Source organism: Homo sapiens, chromosome 4 (assembly GCF_000001405.40).
Source record: "Homo sapiens chromosome 4, GRCh38.p14 Primary Assembly".
Lineage (NCBI taxonomy): Eukaryota > Metazoa > Chordata > Mammalia > Primates > Hominidae > Homo > Homo sapiens.
The window spans coordinates 37,668,533-37,689,006 of NC_000004.12; the positions used below are offsets into that span (position 1 = coordinate 37,668,533).

General features: G+C 46.1%; 1 protein-coding gene across 8 annotated transcripts in view, besides 4 other annotated features; it reads right to left on the reverse strand.

Moving 5' to 3' along the window:
* RELL1 (RELT like 1) overlaps positions 1 to 17,844 on the reverse strand; it is a 100,073-nt gene extending 82,229 nt beyond the window's left edge. For all 8 annotated transcript variants that reach the window (XR_007057961.1, XR_007057960.1, XR_007057958.1 and 5 more), the window contains exon 1: positions 17,668 to 17,844. Coding sequence is in view for 2 of the 8 variants with exons in the window: in NM_001085399.2 (NP_001078868.1) it covers positions 17,668 to 17,755 (88 nt within the window). In the remaining 6 variants the exon portion in view is untranslated. The remainder of the gene's footprint in view (positions 1 to 17,667) is intronic.
* Positions 7,447 to 7,656: an enhancer, noted in NCBI's record as "active region_21415". NCBI's record gives its function as "activates an Ori minimal core promoter by ATAC-STARR-seq in GM12878 lymphoblastoid cells {active_cell/tissue: GM12878}" and the evidence as "EXISTENCE:reporter gene assay evidence [ECO:0000049][PMID:35858748]".
* Positions 14,242 to 14,291: an enhancer, noted in NCBI's record as "active region_21416". NCBI's record gives its function as "activates an Ori minimal core promoter by ATAC-STARR-seq in GM12878 lymphoblastoid cells {active_cell/tissue: GM12878}" and the evidence as "EXISTENCE:reporter gene assay evidence [ECO:0000049][PMID:35858748]".
* Positions 17,383 to 18,052: a silencer, noted in NCBI's record as "silent region_15348". NCBI's record gives its function as "represses an Ori minimal core promoter by ATAC-STARR-seq in GM12878 lymphoblastoid cells {active_cell/tissue: GM12878}" and the evidence as "EXISTENCE:reporter gene assay evidence [ECO:0000049][PMID:35858748]".
* Positions 18,233 to 18,542: a silencer, noted in NCBI's record as "silent region_15349". NCBI's record gives its function as "represses an Ori minimal core promoter by ATAC-STARR-seq in GM12878 lymphoblastoid cells {active_cell/tissue: GM12878}" and the evidence as "EXISTENCE:reporter gene assay evidence [ECO:0000049][PMID:35858748]".

Here is a 20,474-nt window from a genome sequence, read left to right on the forward strand (position 1 = left end):
GCTGGAGTGCAGTGGCGTGATCTCGGCTCGCTACAACATCCACCTCCCAGCAGCCTGCCTTGGCCTCCCAAAGTGGCGAGATTGCAGCCTCTGCCCGGCCGCCACCCCGTCTGGGAAGTGAGGAGCGTCTCTGCCTGGCCGCCCATCGTCTGGGATGTGAGGAGCCCCTCTGCCTGGCTGCCCAGTCTGGAAAGTGAGGAGCATCTCTGCCCGGCCGCCATCCCATCTAGGAAGTGAGGAGCGCCTCTTCCCGGCCGCCACCCCATCTAGGAAGTGAGGAGCGTCTCTCCCCGGCCGCCCATCGTCTGAGATGTGGGGAGCGCCTCTGCCCTGTCGCCTCGTCCGGGATGTGAGGAGCGTCTCTGCCCGGCCGCCCCGTCTGAGAAGTGAGGAGACCCTCTGCCTGGCAACCGCCCTGTCTGAGAGGTGAGGAGCCCCTCTGCCCGGCCAGCCGCCCCATCCAGGAGAGAGGTGGGGGGGTCAGCCCCCCGCCTGGCCAGCCGCCCCGTCCGGGAGGGAGGTGGGGGGGTCAGCCCCCCGCCTGGCCAGCCGCCCCGTCTGGGAGGTGAGGGGCGCCTCTGCCCGGCCGCCCCTACTGGGAAGTGAGGAGCCCCTCTGCCCGGCCAGCCGCCCCGTCCGGGAGGGAGGTGGGGGGGGGGGTCAGCCCCCTGCCTGGCCAGCCGCCCCGTCCGGGAGGGAGGTGGGGGTCAGCCCCCCGCCCGGCCAGCCGCCCCATCCGGGAGGTGAGGGGAGCCTCTGCCCGGCCGCCTCTACTGGGAAGTGAGGAGCCCCTCTGCCTGGCCAGCCGCTCCCTCCGGGAGGGAGGTGGGGGGGTCAGTCCCCGGCCCGGCCAGCCGCCCCGTCCGGGAGGGAGGTGGGGGGGTCAGCCCCCCACCCGGCCAGCCACCCCGTCCGGGAGGTGAGGGGCGCCTCTGCCCGGCCACCCCTACTGGGAAGTGAGGAGCCCCTCTGCCCGGCCACCACCCTGTCTGGGAGGTGTACCCAACAGCTCATTGAGAACGGGCCATGATGACAATGGCAGTTTTGTGGAATAGAAAGGGGGGAAAGGTGGGGAAAAGATGGAGAAATCGGATGGTTGCCGTGTCTGTGTAGAAAGAGGTAGACATGGGAGACTTTTCATTTTGTTCTGTACGAAGAAAAATTCTTCTACCTTGGGATCCTGTTGATCTGTGACCTTACCCCCAACCCAACCCTGTGCTCTCTGCAACATGTGCTGTGTCCACTCAGGGTTAAATGGATTAAGGGCGGTGCAAGATGTGCTTTGTTAAACAGACGCTTGAAGGCAGCATGCTCGTTAAGAGTCATCACCACTCCCTAATCTCAAGTACCCAGGGACACAAACAATGCGGAAGGCCGCAGGGTCCTCTGCCTAGGAAAACCAGAGACCTTTGTTCACTTGTTTATCTGCTGACCTTCCCTCCACTATTGTCCTGTGACCCTGCCAAATCCCCCTCTGCGAGAAACACCCAAGAATGATCAATAAAAAAATAAATAAATAAATATAAAAAAAAAAAAAAGAAAGAAAAAAAGGAACCTGTTAAAAAAAATACCTCCCAAGTATAATTAACATTTATGTTTTCTTGCTGGAACTCTGGGGCATTTTTTTCTCTTTTTCTACTTTTTGCAGTTTCTAAAATGTCCTGATCATAATCGATAGTTTTTTTTTTTAACTGTAAGTAACAGTCAATGAGGAGCCATCATTACTATAAGGTTGAACCATATGAAATTGTCACTGTAGTGTCAGAGTAATATTAATAGTGTAGACAGCGGTAAACCAGGATACTGGAAATCCCTTAGTAAAGAGACTACTAAACCTACAATCCATCATATTGACATTTTAGATGTTTCCATTGGTTGGAGGCAGAGACAGTGCTATGAAATCTTTGGTGAAAACCACAGGAAACAAGAGTCAAAGAAAACCATATAGTAGTATAACTTCTACTTTATTACACTATAAAACACAATGTAAACACATAAATAGTAAAGAACAGCCTGATAATTTTTTTTCTTTCCCACTAAATCTTTTTTTTTTTTTGAGATGGAGTCTCACTCTGTGGCCCAGGCTGGAGTGCAGTGGTGTGATCTCTGCTCACTGCAACCTCTGCCTTCCAGGTTCAAGTGATTCTCCTGTCTCAGCCTCCCAAGTAGCTGGGACTACAGGCACGTGCCACCATGCCCAGCTGATTTTTTGTATTTTTTTAGTAGAGACAGGGTTTCACCATGTTGGCCAAGATGATCTCTATCTCCTGACCTCGTGATCTGCCCGCCTTGACCTCCCAAAGTGCTGGGATAATAGGCATGAGCCACCGCACCCGGCCGCCCCACTAAATCTTTTAAAAACACTTTTGAGCCTTTATCTTCTAAATAGTAAACTATGCAATTTCAGAGAGATTATTCCAGCCCCAACGTTTTCATATTATGAGTTGGTTTTTCCCAATAGGAAAGACTTGTCTGTTCCATTTTTCCTAAACCCAGTTCTCCAACACCAACCGGGTGTCCCACAATTCAATTAAATTCTGATACCACCTAGCATTTAGTGCAGACTCCACAGGTTAAATACTCAATCCCACAAGACTGACCCCACTTCAGATGCCAGCCGCAAATGGGGTCCCCAGGCTAACTGCACTTCTGCCTAGGGACTACAAATTGGGGGCTTTCCATGACCCCCCTCAATAAGTTTGGCATTTTGCTAGAATTATCAGAGGCGTTTGAACCAGAATAACTCCATCTTGAATAATGGCTGGGTAAAATGAGGCTGAGACCTACTGAGTTGCATTCCAGGAGGTTAGGCATTCTAAGTCACAGGATGAGATAGGAGATCAGCATAAGATACAAGTCACAAAGACCTTGCTGATAAAAGGGTGTGGTAAAGAAGCCAGTGAAAGTCCACCAAAATCAAGACTCAATGAAAGTGACCTCTGGTTATCCTTACTGCTCATTATATGCTAACTATAATACATTGGCATGCTAAGAAACACTCCCACCAGCACCATGACAGTTTACAGATGCCATGGCAATGTTGGGAAGTTACCTATATGGTCTAAAAAAAGTAGGAAGCCTCAGTTCTGAGAATTGCTCACCCTCTTCCTGGAAAACTCACGAATAATCCACCCCTTGTTCGGCGTATAATCAAGAAGTAACCATAAAAATAGCCAACCAGCAGCCCCGAGGGCTGCTGTGGAATAGCCTGTGGAATAGCCATTCTTTATTCCTTTACTTTCCAATAACCTTGATTTCACTTTACTCTACGGATTTGCCCGGAAGTCTTCCTTGCACGAGGTCCAAGAACCCTCTTCTGGGGTCAAGATCGGGACTCTTTTGGGCAACAATGACTCACAGAATTCAGAAAATCCCTACACTTATGATTACAGTTTTATTATGAAGCATACAACTCAGATACAGCCAAATGGTAGAGATTCATAGGGCAAGGTATGGTTGGGGAGCAGGCACGAAAACAGAACTTCCAAGCCCCCTCCAGGCACACCATCCTCCCAACACATCCATATGTCACCAACCCAGAAGCTCCTAGCCTCCTTGCTGCAGTTTTAACCAAGTTTTTATCACACAGGTTTGACTGATAAAATCACTGGCTGTTGTTGAGTGAACCCAATCTCCAGCCCCTTTCCCTTCCCAGAGATCAGGGATTGCAGCTAAAAGTTCTAACCCTGTAATCACATGGTTGGTTCCTCCGGCAACTAGTCCCCATCCCGTAGCTACCTGGGGGCCCACCAAGAGTCCAAGGATCACATTAGCACAAACTCAGGTATGGTCTAAAGGAGCTCATTATGAGTAACAAAAAATGTTCCTATCACTCAAGAAATCCCAAGGGTTATTTTTAGGAGTCCCAGGAATCAGGGACAAGATCAAATATATCATTTGTATTACACCACATTGACTCAAAGTCAAGAGTCTTTACTCACTAATATATCAAGATGCAGCACTGAACCAGTGTAGAAAAGATCAACCTTCTCAATCACAGGTTTGTGGCGGCAACAGATCAACTACCATATGGTTCATGCAAAAGAATTCTCTTTCCCTCCTTCAAGTCTTCTCCATCCCTATCCCTCCCACCCACCCAGGAACTAAGATCCACCAGATCTACTTAGTTTGTGTAACTACTGTTTCCATAATATGTAGGCATTGGATGTATACTGAATTACTTTGAAGCTGGTTAGTTTTCCTTCCCCCAAATCTATTTCATCACATCATAAGAAATTAAGGGACTGAGAAAACTCACCAGAAGTGACAGAGATGGAGCCCTTAGCCAAGCAGGATTTACAAATCATCCCAATGCTGATATGCATGGTTTATTTAGAGATTGCCTTAACACTGACAGTCCTCCAGACTGGGAAGGAGAAGTAAACAAGGACAAGACCCACAGTAGGGCCAAAAAATGAAAATATACCAACATACTTCCAAAATATAAATGTTTAATGGTTGAGAATTCAATAGTCTGGACCATGTGTGGTGGCTCATGCCTGTAATCAAGAATTCAATAGACAAGCTGATTTGTATAATTTGAAGGTATTTACTCTAACTTAAGAAAAATACATAATTAGCGAGCTTTAACCATTAATGAACACTCCTTGGCTTTCACACCACCAAGCCATCAAGACTATATACTTTTTTTTTCTTTTTTTTTTTTTTTTTTTTTGAGACAGGGTTTCACTCTGTAGCCCAGGCTGGAGTGCAGTGGCACTATCACAGCTCACTGCAGCCTTGCACCTCTGGGCTTAAGTGATCCTCCTGCCTCAACCTCCTGAGTAGCTGGGATGAAAGGCACATGCCACCATGCCCAGCTAATTTTTGTCCTATTTTTGTAGAGACGGGGTCTTGCTATGGTTTTCGGGCTGGTCCTGAACTCCTGGCCTCAAGCGATCCTCCTGCCTCAGCATCCCAAAGTGCTGAGATTACAGGCGTGAGCCACCACACTAGGCCAAAACTATATACTTAGCACTTACTTCATGATTCTCATTTCTCAGCACTCCTTAAACTTTGAAAAATTGTTTCTATCTGCATATCATATGGATTGCATTAAATCTATTCTGCTGCATAGATCCTATTTGTGTTACTTACAAAGGACTGTATTATGTTTGATGGCTCACCCTCTGCCTCCCTACCACCTACACTTCTGCAGATAAGGAAATGGGAATGGCAATCTGAACTGCCCTGCTGACAGCACAGGGCCCTGTCTCCTTTCGGCTCAGCCTCTGGGGCTCTTCTATCACATGGAAATGCATGGGGGCCTCTTGTTGTCCCCTATCCTCCGCAACTACACAGTAAAGTGCAGTTTCAGGGGCTCTGTCGCCTAACCTCAGTCTCCCCTCTGCAGCCTCATCTCACATGACTTCCACTGAGGAGTCTCTGCCACACCCAGTCTGCATTAACTTCTCTATTCCCACCTCCATGCCTTTGCACACAGGCTGTTTCCTTTGCTCAGCACACCATTCCATACACTCCCTTTTAAGGTCCACTGAAAATGCCAAGTTTCAGGCTATGAATGAAGTCTTTTCCATCGCCCTTATCAGAAGGAAAGTCTCCCTCCCTTTGATCCCACACAGCACTTTGTCTGTAGTTCTCTGATTACACCAAACACATTCTCTACTATACTATAGTGATTTGTATTCATAGCTTATCTCCCCCTTCTCAATCACAAGTTTGTGGAGAACAAAAAAGAAGTTTGTTATTCATTTTACATACCTACATAGCACCTGACGATATCTCAAATAAGAGAAACCTCATTTTTAAATTAACTGCACACTGTAAAGAATGATCTACAAGTTTTACCTGCAATGACTATTAAAAAGGGCTGAGTTGACAATCACGACTGTGAAATGAGTTTCACCTTCAAAACCCAGCTTCTTGGCTCTATCACATAGCTTTAAACAATATCCAATGCTTCCCTTTTTCTTTTGGTGGTTGTTCTGTGTTTTGCCTTTAGAAGGAGGATGGAAAGAACTGAGGAAGCAGTAAAAGCATTCAGGCCGTACGAGCATATAGAAAAAACTTGCAAAGAAAAATGAAGAAACGCCTGCTCATTAGCCATCTGCCACTTCACCAATGCCAGGAAATTCCGGGCAGCTGTTTTTTATAAAGTGGATAATTCACATAATTGTGTTGGGGACTTCCAGCTATGAAGAACTGTTAGAACATTTGAAAATTAGTGTTCCCAAGTTGTACTGTGATACAAAAGCCCAGTGAATTCTTCAAACTTCCACCTCTTACAGGAATCTGAGAAAACCAGATAATGTTTACATCTACGCATGGGGAAGGAAGGCTTGGCAGATTATTGGTATCGAAAGGAATTCTTTTTAGTTAGTTTTTAACCCTACCTGTCTTGTGAATGTGCTATGTACAGGCTCTTTGTAAGTCTTCAACCATGCAGCAAAATCCATCTAGCCACTCAAAGATTGGTAATAGCATAATTGTCTAATGTGTGTCTTTTCAGGAAATTGAAATTGATATGTTGTATCTCCCTCATGCCAAAATTTTATAAAAATCATTTCTAAGCCTAATGACATGTAAACTGAATTACCCCCTCCAAATATTTACTCTAAAAGCAAGTGGACAATTTCTGTAGAATTCCTAAGATAATCATCTCCTGCTAAAAACAAAATCTACATTCAATTTATAAGATGCCTTTGTATTCTCTTTAAGAAGATGAACCTATAGTGAAAAAGCTCAAAAACAAATTAAATATAAAACTTTCCTTCTACTAGTGGTGCTGGGCACCGAATACCTGCAATTTCACATAATGCAAAGCACATTTGAGAACAATGAACACACACCTCACGTTGACTTCCCCTCCTCTGACTTGAGCAAGAAATTCCCCTTCTCTTCATCTTGGTTATTCCCTGTAAGTCTCAGTTTCCACATCTCCACAGAACAGAGAATAACATGCAACCTGCTCCACACAGTGGTTGCAAGAATTAAATTTGATCAGGCAATCAAATATTTTGTACACATTTCATATGCTCAGCTGCCTCAAGAAGCTCTAGTTAGACAAAACAAACATGGTGGAAACAATTGCATGTAACTGAGGGCTAAATAACATGGAAAAGATGCAACATGTATCCATAGACTTGTGGACAGTGTATTCACAGGAGGCAATAAAGGCAGTGAGAATACCTAGGAAATGTTTCCTGGAAATGCTATCCTTGATCTCAGCTTGAAGGATGGTCAGAGGACAGGATACATACAGCCCCAAGAAGAGGAGAGGGGATTCCATCTACTCTTATCTCTTTCACTCCCCTGCTCACAGTTGATACTTAGCCAGCATCACCTGGAAACATGAGAGTTGAAAAGCAAATCTCCAGACCCATCCCAGTCCTATGGACTCAGCACTCTCAGGTGGGGCTCAGAGATCTGTTTTAACCAGCCTTCCAGCTGGACTTCTGAACACTCAAGTTTGGGAACCACTGCTGTTGCTTTGCTTGATCTTACCTCCTCTCTTCGGTGACCACAAGTTCTTTCCACCTGACCAACTCCTGCAGTTTTTGCAGCTGTAAATTTCACTTTCATTTCCTCCAGAGAGCATGCCCAACCTGCACTGGAGTCTAGTTTGTCCATGCATGTCCCAACCCCAGCCCTAGGTTAGGTATTTTGGCCCTGTGTCATACTTTCCTTGACAAGGTACTCAGGGCATGTCATTTTGCTTGTTTAATTGCCTTCCTGATAACCTACTAGCTCCATAAAGGCAGGTACTGAGTCTATTTTGTTCACATCACTTCATTCTCAGAGCCTTGCACACTGTAAGGTACTTTGTTAATACCTGTTGGATAAATAAGTAAATCAAAGAAGCCACGAAACAATTGGTTTTGAATAGTATAAAGTACTATAAAATCAGGAATATGATACATATACAATTAACAGATGCATTTGAAGTACCGGTTGTAGAAACACAGCTGAGTTTAGTTTGTCTTTGAGAAGAGTTTCATGAAGAGATTTGGGTTTCGAAAATCTCTGCACTGAAAATGCTACCAATGTCACACCATATCACCTGATAAGGTAGTATTGATTGTTTGTTATTATCATTCTTGGCAGTATTGCTTGTTTGTCATTATCATTCATTTTTCCTCCATGACCAGATTTTTCTGCCTTTGGAGCAATTTGGCCCACAGAGGCTGGCAGACAAAACAGCCTCTCACCAGTGCAAGAGAAGGGCTGTGGGGAGGCTTACATCTAAGATTTGTGGGTGAATATTGGAAACAGTAACTCTTCACTTTATTATAAAGAAAAAGCTTTGGACCAAGAGTCCTAACACCTGAATTCTAACTCTGGCTTCCTTCCTTCCCTCATTTAAATATTTAAATATTTACTCTATTCCGGGCCCTGTGCTTGGATCTGAGCCTACAATGGCGAACAAGACATACACGTAGTCCCTCCCTCACCAAACCTAAAGGTCTGCTCATCTGCTATGGGCTACAGCCACTCCTGACTCCTACAGGACACCGAACCTTTCTGGGCTAGTTTCCCCATCTGCAAAGAGAGGGTGTTAATTACAAGATGACCATCAAAGTCCCTTCTGAATCTAAAATATGACTAAGAATAACACAATTACTCCCATGAGTCAGTTAGCCAAAGTTCTTCCTAGTCCTCCTCATCCTACATCCAAGGAGCTGAGAAACCAGGCCCTTGAGCATGAGGATCAAGGGCATATGTAGATCAAGGAAACCTGCCATAGGCAGCAAGGCTGGATCCACTTCCATAGACAGTCTAACAGAATGGGAAGAGTCCCAGAATGAGGAAAGACACTCACTTAAGTCCTGGCTGTGCCAGCTCAGTTTCTGCATCTGCTAAATAAAAGCTTGGAGGACACAGTCAAGGTCTCTTCCAGCCCTAATACTACAGGACTCTGCTTCCTCCTCCTAAGAGTCTCATTCATTGAAACACTCATCAAAGAGCCACGAGAAGATGAACAATAAGCACTCAGACCCTGGATAATCACAAAGCATGTCATCATCAAATCTACATCAAATACTAAAGAAAAACTGTCACAATTTTGTGACTACACCTATAGATCAGCTATCTAAGAATAAACCAATTGGTGAATCTTCCAAAGTTCTTCCAGAAGAAAATGTCATGCTCTACCCTACACATTAGGCCATTCTTGCACTGCTATAAAGAAATACCTGAGGCTGGGCACGGTGGCTCACGCCTGTAATCCCAACACTATGAGAGCCCAAGGCAGGTGGATCACCTGAGGTCAGGAGTTCCAGACCAGCCTAGCCAACATGGTGAAACCCAGTCTCTACTTAAAAATACAAAAATTAGCCGGGCATGGTGGCAGGTGCCTGTAATCCCAGCTACTCAGGAGGCTGAGGCAGAAGAATCACTTGAACCCAGGAGGCAGAGGTTGCAGTGAGCCGAGATCACACCATTGCACTCCAGCAGCCTGAGCAACAGAACAAGACCTTGTCCCCCCAAAAAAGAAATACCTGAGACTGAGTAATTTATTTTTTAAAAAAAGAGGTTTAATTGGCTCACAGTTCTGCAGGCTGTATAGGAAGCATAGTGGCATCTGCTTCTGGGGAGGCCTCAGAAGCTTCCAGTCATGGCAGAAGGCAACAGAGGAGCAGGCACATCACATGGCGGAAGCAGGAGCAAGAGAGAGTTGGGGGGGAGGTACCACACACTTTTAAACAAACAGATCTCTTGTGAACTCACTCACTATCGTGAGGGCAGCACTTCTCATGATGATGCTAAATCATTCATGAGAAATCTACCCCCATGATCCAATCACCTTCCACCAGGCCCCACCTCTAATACTGGGGATTACCATTCAACATGAAATTTGGGCAGGGACAAATATACAGACTATATCACCTTATAAAGGTAATGCTTTCCTTCCTTCTTTGCTTAGTTTTGGTGGCTAATGGCTCTGCCCCACAAATCCCCTGCCTCCCAAGAGAACTCTGCCAAGCCCATCAGACCCTACTCCTTCGGGCACTGCCCAACATCCCCTCCTCAAAGCCCCCTCTGCCCTTTACACAACCAGCACCCAGGGCTCAGGAGCAACAGGTGACAGGAAACCCCTCAAGTAATGGCAGAGGCCCAAAAAGGAAAATTCTGGAGTGGTTAGGAACTTTGTCTCATTCTTTAGCTGTGATAGGTTAGTATCTGGTTTAGCCTAGGCAATAATAATAATACACTTTTTCATCACTTACTGTGTGCCAAGCACTCACTAGTTTTATCTTACATAACTGACACAACAATGCTATGAGGCAGCTCAGCCATATTCTCTCTATAATACCGATAAGGAAAGTAATTTAAAGATTTTTTTTCTCTCTGTACAACAGGCACTTTTATTAGTGGCTGGAATGCAGTTATCCACAAGAGTGCACAAACAAAATGGGAGAGGAGGATCAGGTAGGGCTGGCAGCTGGCAAGGGAAATGGGAGATACCTGGCTGGCGGGTTCTCTCTGTTTGAGATCCTGGGACAGTGCTATCAAGTAAAGAGAAGAAGCCGGGGGCCTTGGGGTATTGCAGGTGGGAATGGAAAACCAGGTCCTCTGAGTTCAACAGGTTTGGCAAAAGGATCCCCAAGGTAAGATGTCCGGCCCCTCTACCCATCCATCCTCCAGAAAATCCCTTGGGTAGATTCAGTTTCTCTTACAAAGAGAACTGTGTTAGTAACTGGCAAAAGAAAGCAGAGGAGAAATTTGGCCCAAACTCTCCATCTAGCCGACAAGTTTCCATTCTAATTGGCACCCATTCATAAAGTCACTTGGAATAAACAAAATCTTAGTTTTTTGGGGGTACCCTTATTTTCTTAGATTTCACACTAGAGTACCAAAGTTGTACTTCTTTTTCTGAAGTGTCACTCATTTGAGGACTTATTTTCCCCATTGGAAATTTTGCTACTTTGAGCAGTTTTATATTTGCCTCCTAACAGACACAAATAAATGAGTCACAGAAGCGAAAATGCAGGACCATAATCCCTTATCTGAAAACCTGGAAGTCAGATGTGCTTCAAAGTTCAAACCTTGTGATTTTAGGAAGGTAATGCAATGCATTTAGCGCACAACCTGTAACACTCAAATCAAATTCATTAATATTATTCAGCAGAACATGCAAATAGTCAAGATAGAATAATATATACCATAGAACCACACATTAGGCTGGGTGTGGTGGTGCATCCCTATAATCCCAGCACTTTGGGAGGCCGAGGTGGGTGGATCACATGAGGTCAAGAGTTCCAGATCAGCCTGGCCAATATGGTGAAACCCCATCTCTACTAAAAATACAAAAATTAGCTGGGCGTGGTGCATGCCTGTAATCCCAGCTACTCGGGAGGCTGAGGCAGGAGAATCTCTTGAACCCGGGAGGCGGAGCTTGCAGTGACCCGAGATCACACCACTGCACTCCAGCCTGGGAGACAGAGAGAGACTCCATCTCAAAAAAAAAATTAAAAACCTCACATTAGTTCAAGTTAAGTTTTACAACCTACAGAGGGTATCAAAAGCCTACAAGAAAAACTTGTTTTCAGAGCTTTTTACATTTCAGAATTATCCATAAAGGATTACACACTTGCAAATGGCTCAAAAACTAGAAGAAAACAAAATCAACCTGATAGTTACCAACCATGTACAAATTAAAACAATCAAGGTACCAATTTTTGCCTAACAAATTAGCGAATATGTTTTTCAGAGAAAATAACAAGAATATGAAATTGAGTCTTTTTGGCTATTGCTGTGAGAATGTAACCTGGGATGACCTTCAGATCAACACTGATGTCATCAATTGCCTCAAAAATGTGAACATCTTTGACCCTCAAAGTGCCTTTTCAGGAACCCATTTTCTGTGGAAGTCCTCTGATATTTAGGCAAAGTTTCATGCACAGAGGCATTCATTGAAATGAGTTTTAAAACTCACTTAAAAATAATGAGCAACTGAAATCTCCCAAATAGATACATAGAAGTAAAATACAGTGAATCCATATAGTGGAACAGTAGGCAGCCCTTTTTTGGGTGTATAGGGAAATAGAGAAACATTTCTGTGTAACATAAACTGAAAAAGTCATGATACAAAGTTATATTGCATTATGAACCTATCCGAGTTAAAAATGCAATTAAAGAACCTATGCGAGTTAAGAACGCAATTACAGGCTCATGCCTGTAATCCCAGCACTTTGGGAGGCCGAGGCGGGCGGATCATGAGGTCAGAAGATCGAGACCATCCTGGCTAACACGGTGAAACACTGTCTCTACTAAAAATATAAAAACAAAATTAGCCAAGCATGGTGGTGGGCGCCTGTAGTCCCAGCTACTTGGGAGGCTGAGGCGGGAGAATGGCATGAACCCTGGAGGCGGAGCTTGCAGTGAGCTGAGATCGCGCCGCTGCACTCCAGCCTGGGTGACAGAGCAACACTCCATCTCAAAAAAAAAAAAAAAAAAAAAATGCAATTAGAGAAGACCAGAATGAAATATGCTAACAATGGCTAGTGCCTTGGAGTAATGGAATCAAGGGTGATTCTCGCTCCTTCCTCCCACAAACTTTAGATCTTTGGGGAAATTTTCCAAAAATACCTAGTGCACTGTATTTTAGCTAAAGGGAAATGAGAAAAGATGGCTTGGCTACTTAACTCCTATGCAACAGTAGCAAACTCTAATCTGAGGTGTCACTCTGGGCTTTTTAAAAATCCCTATCATTGCAAAGCTATCACCACCTCCAGAATAAAAACTGTTTAATATATGTGGTCCACATTTATTTGACAGTTTAAATGACGTAATATAAATCAAGCCTAATGCGCACTCTGGAGAAAAAATACTATATTTTTTAAAGATACACAGGATAAAAGATATATGCCACTTTGCCATTTACCCAGAACTTTCAGAGACAAGAGCTCAGTAAGACAGAGCAGCCAGTAGGACAGAGAGACAGGTGTTGGCACAATGCCCATTTTACAGGTGAGGAAATGGAGGTGGACAGAACCATATGCTGCAGGCATCAGGGTCTCCTTCTGTTTTTTTTTTTTTTTTTTTTTTTTTTTTGAGACGGAGTCTTGCTCTGTCACCCAGGCTGGAGTGCAGTGGCACGATCTCAGCTCACTGCAACCTCCGCTTCCCAGGTTCGAGTGATTCTCCTGCCTCAGCCTCCCCAGTAGCTGGGACTACAGGCATGTGCCACCACATCCAACTAATTTTTGTATTTCTAGTAGAGACGGGGTTTCACCATATTGGCCAGGCTGGTCTTGAACTCCTGACCTCGTGATCTGCCCGCCTTGGCCTCCCAAAGTGCTGCGATTACAGGCGTGAGCCACTGCACCCGGCTTCCTTCTGATTTTTGACTTCAAGTCCAAGGCCCTGACTTAAGGCTTGGTGCTCTTTCCACCATAGCATCCCATGACCTTGTTACTTACTGATTCTTTACAAATATGTTAGAATAAAAAGAATTTTCTTACTCAAAAAAATAGTTTAGTAATAATAAGCATGGACTTCAAAATCAAACAGATCTGACTCAATGGACTCCATGACAAAATCCAGCTTACACATGAGTGACTTTTTCAACTTCTCTGAGGCTCAATTTCCTCATCTACAAACACAGGAATAAAATTATGTATATAACTGACAGGAAATTAATTGTAAGAATGAAATGATCTAGGTATTTAGACTACCGCCTGCACACAAACCAGGTAATAATAAAAATTGAATTCCTTTTTCCTAAAAGAGTAAAGTGTCTACAGTGTACTAACACCAAATTCTGATTTTAGTTTTTATAAATCACACCAGAATTATTAATATACCCGCTTTCAGCAGCACACCAAATCTTTACAACCACTTAAGTGTCCGAAATTATTAGGAACCACTCAACCTAATAGTTTATACCAATGACAATTTAATTTATTCTTTTTGTCAGCTTTAAATCATTTCTCTATTGTTTCAATAAGTCATTAAACTTCAACATTAGGGCCAAAGAATCATTTTTAAAGAAACAATAAAATCTGTTGTTTGTTCACTTGGGGCTTTGGTCTCTCACATTCAAATTCAACTCTTCAAATTTCCAAATAGATTCATTTCATTTCCATTTTTAGAGGGGGTAGGGGCAGGGAATTGACAGAGACTTCTCACATTTTTCATTTCCTTTTAAAATTAAATGTAGATATGGACTCCCAAGCTCCAAGGTGTGCTTTTTCAAAACTTTCCAAACACTATATATTATGTGGATGTACAGCTTCGCAGCTACCTGGCTAAGAGAGACCCCAGAATTTAATAAAGCTTATCTTTAGTTTCTAAAAAGGAGTCAGAATGCTGGAGGGAAGCCTGCAGCCCAAGGACAATGCATTTTTCATCTCACCAGCCCCAGGACCTCTTCCACCCACTCCTTACTCGAGGGCTATGCCCACTGTCTGAGAGAGAAACTAATAAACCTGAAGGTTGAGTAACCAGAGAACTTAAGGACATTAATAAGCCAAGACGTGGAAAATCATCCCTTTGGGTGCTTGTGGTATATAGTTTCGAATGCTGCTGCTAAGAGACAAGTTTAATGAGATTCTTCTACTAGGAAGGAAGTGAAAAAGGCATTGCCACTACCCACCGTGAAGCTATCTGCCCTTCTTTTCTCTACTTGACAACTTCTGATAACCACATGCTTACAATTTTATGACGTTCTAAACTATCTTAGAATCTCAGCGAGATTGCAGAGGTTGACTCATATTCTATTTTTCCTCTGCAGAGCAGTGGGGTACAGTGGAAAGGGAATGAACTTTGGAATCAAGCAGGCTGGGTTATCCCAGATAAAGATACATATAAAGGTACACACATACACAGACACCTCCTAGTGGTTCTGCTTCTCTGAATGCTGACTGGCACAGTACCTATGTGATGTTCAGCCAGTTGTTTAACCTCTCTTGCCTCAGTTGCCTTACTGGAAGTAAGTATTTCACAGGGTTATGAGCAATGAGTTTAAAAATGCCTATGAAGGCTGGGCGCGGTGGCTCACACCTGTAATCCCTGCACTTTGGGAGGTCGAGAAGGGCGGATCACTTGAGGTCAGGAGTTACAAACCAGCATAGCCAACATGGGGAAGCCCCGATTCTACTAAAAAATACAAAAATTTGCCAGGCATGGTGGCGGGCGCCTATAATCCCAGCTACTAGGGAGGCTGAGGCAGGAGAATTGCTTGAGCCTGGGAGGTGGAGGTTGTAGTGAGCTGAGATCGCACCACTGCACCTCAGCCTGGGAGTCAGAGCAAGACTCTGTCTCAAAAAACAATAAAAATAAAAATAAATAAACAAATAAAAATGCGGCCGGGCGCGGTGGCTCACGCCTGTAATCCCAGCACTTTGGGAGGCCAAGGTGGGCGGATCACGAGGTCAGGAGATGGAGACCATCCTGGCTAACACGGTGAAACCCCGTCTCTACTAAAAATATAAAAAATTAGCCAGGCATGGTGGCGGGCGCCTGTAGTCCCAGCTACTCTGGAGGCTGAGGCAGGAGAATGGCGTGAACCCGGGAGGCGGAGCTTGCAGTGAGATCGCGCCACTGCACTCCAGCCTGGGCGACAGAGCAAGACTCCGTCTCAAAAAGAAAAAAATAAATAAAAATAAAAATGCATACAAAGTACTCAACCCAAAGCCTGGCACACAGCAGGCACTCAACAGTATTTCCCATTCCTTTCCCTCTACTTCCCTATGCTCAAGGTACAAACATTAACACCATCTTTGGTTGCAAGGGGATCAGATGTTGGCTGGTCAGAGCATCTTCTCTTTACACACGCCTCAAGATACTGGCAAATTTGTGCTCTGTATCCTTTCCTTTTTAGACACCTGTTTCTTCTTCCGCATTAATTTTCATCAAAAAAAAAAAAAGGCTGTCATGCAATTAGATGAGAGCTTTCATCAGTCACATTCTAGTCCTGAGACCTGGGTGTTGCTCAGAGGTCAAACCAAACACACACCCACTCTAGGGATGGATTTCTCCTGCTGATGATGGCTAATTACATGCATCATGTGCTGAATTTTTAATAATTTTACTCCCAGATTAAACTCTTCCCCAGATTCTGTTGCAACTGACTCTAACCCTCTAATGAATGTCTCCAACCTCACATCCAAGTGGAACCTGATTATGCACCTATGTGTCCCAGCAATCAAACGCAGGATGAAAATCAAAATGAACCAGCAGGGCATGGTGGCTCATGCCTGTAATACCAGCACTTTGGGAGGCCGAGGCAGGAGGATCACTTGAGGTCGGGAGTTCGAGACCAGCCTGGCCAATATGGCAAAACCCCATCTCTACTAAAAATACAAAAATTAGCCGGGCATGGTGGCACATGCCTGTAATCCCAGCTGCTCAGAAGGCTGAGGCAGGAGAATCACTTGAACCAGAGAGCTGGAGGTTGCAGTGAGCCGAGGTTGTGCCACTGCACTCCAGTCTGGGTGACAAAATGAGCCCCTGTATCAAAATAAGGAAAAGAAAAAAAAAATTGTCCCATCCAGTAAAACATGTCACTAGCTGCCATTTCCCCAGGTGGATGGCTAACGGAAATACGGGCCTGCTAAAAAGACTCAGGAGACAATATTATCCATCTCCTTCCCTTCCAACCTGCTCTGGTTTCTATGAAAAAGTGAAGGCCAAACTGCTAAGTCAGTGTAAAAGTTGTAAGCGACTGAAATGTTCTCAGGAGGAAGAGTTTATGGATGTTTATGGAGGAGACAGTCACTGTTGAAAGGCTTCCAGTTGCTTATTATTTGGGCCTGAGGAGGAACCACCGCTGAAATCAAGCTTGGAAGAGCTTGCTGACGTCAGATTCCCAGCTGTAGTAACCCCAAATGGCCAAGTAAGTATGTTTTTTTTTTAACTGCAGCTGTTAGGTGGCAATTAAGAGGGGAAGCGGTGGTAAGGAATCCCTAGTGTCTGTAATTATAAAAGCAAGGATGTGACATAGGACTTCCATAAAACTTACACCTCCTCTTAAGATTGATTTCAATTAAAAACTGCTTCATCGTTGGTGACACTTTAGCATCTCTGTTGGTGGCTTCCTGCCCTGACCACACAAGGTTCCTTTCGTGACGACAGGAATCAACAAAAAGAAGAAAAAAATGTAAGTTTACCAACGCGCCTTCCCTTTTTCCGAGCCTGATTTATACAGGATATATGGGAAGAAATGTGGACTCCTTGACCTGTTACAAGAATCCATCAACCACCCAAATAAATGGAAACGTGGAAAGAGATTCAAAGTCCTCCAGGTTTTAGGATATTTTAAGGTATTTAAAAGGGAGAAGGAGGCGCCGACAGCGCACCCGGTGCTCTGTGTCACGATCTTCCGCTCGCGGCGCCTTTGAGGACAAGGGCGGCGGGAAACGGGTCCGCGGGGTTCCGAGGCGAGCGGCCGTGGAGGAAGCGCCCCCGAAGAAGGCCTGGTCCCTACGCCCCGCACTGCCCAGCGCTGGGGAACACAGATCCTCGGAGGAGGCCCCAGGGAGGGAAGGCGGGAGCGGGGCCCGCGGGAGGGGAGGGACGGGAGCCGTTGCCACGCACCGCGCCCTGCCCGGACCGCCGCGGGACAGCCAGTTGTTCAGTGCCGGGATCCCGCGGCTGTGCCAGAAAGCAGGACGCCGCGGGGCTGCCGTCCCGACCCCTCGCTTCCTTCCGCGCTCCCGGGACCGGGCTCAGCACCCGGCGCCCCGGCTACGACCGGACACTCACCCGGAGCCACCAGCGGCGAACTCACGGCGCCTCCCACGAAGACAGCAGCGGCTAGGACGGCGGACCCCGGGAGTGCCCGCGGAGCCATCGCCGCGTCGCTTCGCCCTCCTCCCCCAGGGCGCCGCGTCCCGCGCTCGGGAAGGCAGAGCCGCTCCGGAGCCGGCGGGCTGATCGAGTGGCTGGGCTGGGCCCCAGGGAGCGGCGAACCCCGCCCCGCCATTGCCCCGCCCCACGCCACACCCACCTCGGCTCGGTCCCGCCTCTCCCCGCGCGCCCCGGGCTCCACCTAAGCCGGCACGAGGTCCACTCATGGCTCCGCCCCCGACTCCCCGCCCACCTCAGCCTGATCCCGCCTCTCCCTGCCATTCCCGCTTCCTTTCCAAACCCCGCAGCAGCCTCAGCGGCGTAGCTAGGCCATGGACACGCCCTCTTTCTCCACCCACCTCAGCTTGGCCCCGCCTCTCCCTACCGAGCCCCGGACTCCACCTAAGAAGGCACGTGGCCCATCCATGGCCCCGCCCTTTTCCCCACCCACAGCTCAGCCCGACCCCTCCTCTCCCGCTTCCTTTCCAAACCCAGCAGCAGCCTTGGCGGCGCAGTTAGGCTATAGCCCCGCCCTTGCGCCCTGCCCACCGTGGCCCGGCCGTGCCTCTACTTGCCAGGCCCGCTTCCTTTCCAAGCCGGGCCGGGATTACGCGGGAGCCCGGGGCGGGGGGAGGGTCGCCCGGGTGCAACCTCCCTCGGTCGCTGGGACTAGGCGGGCGTGGGAAGAGAAAGAGGGAGCGCGCCCCGAGAAGCACTGGACAGTCAGAAGCGGCCAGCACTGGAGTGAGCACAGGCTTTTTTCGCTGTTGGCATGTCTATCCACTAGCATTCCCCTCGGTTGCAGATCTAGGGAGTGATGCTGTGCTGGATGTCACGTTCTGTTGTTTGGAAATTAGCAGAAAAGATAACTTAAATTTCTTCCTCTGTTTGTTTGCATTTAAGCTGCTCCTATTGGGGAAAATACCTCTATGCATTTTCAGGAACAACTTGCCTTTTTTTTTTAATCGTGTGCTTGTATTGCACCTTGCGCATACTCCCGCAAAGTAGGTCTTTCAATGCCCAGACGCTTATTATCTCCTCACATCCTCACATCAGCTCTGCGAGGTGACTATTAGAGGCCAGGGAGTAAACCCACGATGTCTGGGCCACCATGATAAATTGTAATTATCTCATTGTCATTGTGTTTGCTCGCTGCTGTGCCCTCAGCGCCTGGATGGAGGACAGACAGCACACGCTAAGAGGTCAGAAGTGTTTTCTGAAGTTGAATCATCTTCACAAGCATTAATAGGACTCAGAGGCTCTCTCTGAATAGTTCCTTTTTACTGCCCTGTAGAGACTGTTGTTACTGGGCCATCAAGCATTTGCTTGAAGGAAATTAGGGCAGGACTTGAGCAAATACTCAACACCAGCAAGAAGAGGGGGTGCATGGAGGCTGTGGGTTTTCACAGGATGGGTCTCATCCTTGAGGTGACTGATAACCTCTAGTTTTCAGAGGACTATTTATTCTCTCACCGAGTCCTCCACGCAGTCTGCTGGACTATTATTACAAACATTGCATTGATGTGGGAATTGCCAGTGACAGAAGCTCAGGCCACTACAGTACAGATGGCTGAGGCTGAAGGATGGAGCCCCTGCCCTTTGAAGCCCAAGGAGGGCACTGCGCGTCCTGCGCTCAGTTGGCAGCGCATCCTACAGTCTGGCAGTCTTAGCAGGCAGCCTTTGCTAGTTTTATATCAACATAAACATTGAGAATGTGTGCGGAGGAAAGCGATCCATGTGGATTTCTAACTAAAACAGGAGAGAATCCCGGACCTAGAAATTAAACTATAAATTAGAAGTTGTAGCCAGAACCAGCTATAAAATTTGCAGGGCACAATGCAAAATGAAAAGGCAGGGCCTTCTGTTCAAAAATCGTTAAGAATTTCAAGATGGCAACAACACAACATTAAATCGATTGTGGAGCCCTCCTAAACACACAGTTGCACAGGTCACACACTTATAAAGCCAGCTCTGGTTTTGTAAGTTAGAATGTAACAAAATGCTTGAATCAAGAAATCTAATCAAAATGTAAAATGTCATTTCAAAATTGAATCATGTTTCACTCTTTTCCCACAGATTGGACTTAGTATTAAAAAGATGGGATCGTTTTTGGCTGGGCGCAGTAGCTCAAGCCTGTAATCCCAGCACTTTGGGAGGCCGAAGCAGGCAGATCACGAGGTCAGGAGATCGTAGACCATCCTGGCTAACACGGTGAAACCCCATCTGTACTAAAAATACAAAAAAGTAGCCAGGCGTGGTGGCGGGCGCCTGTAGTCCCAGCTACTCGGGAGGCTGAGGCAGGAGAATGGCGTGAACCCGGGAGGCGGAACTTGCAGTGAGCCGAGATTGTGCCACTGCACTGCAGCCTGGGCAACAGAGCGAGACTCCGTCTCAAAAGAAAAAAAGAAAAAAAAAAAAGAAAGACGGGATCATTTTTAACAACACATTTGAATTGTATATCTGTTATGGCTCTTCAAATATAAAAATCTAGTACTTAAGCCTTACCCATTATCTACCAGGCCCTTTGTTTTACAGATGAGAGATGGTTAAGTGATCTGCCTGACATATCTACTATGAGCCAGGGTTGAAACCCAGGGCTCTGAAATTTCTCTTCCTAAACTTTCCATAACACCTGCTTGACACACTCTCTATAAATGTCTTACTTTCACGTACCCCGTATACATGCATTTGTATGTCTTGTTAAAGGAATGAAGGAAGGGTAG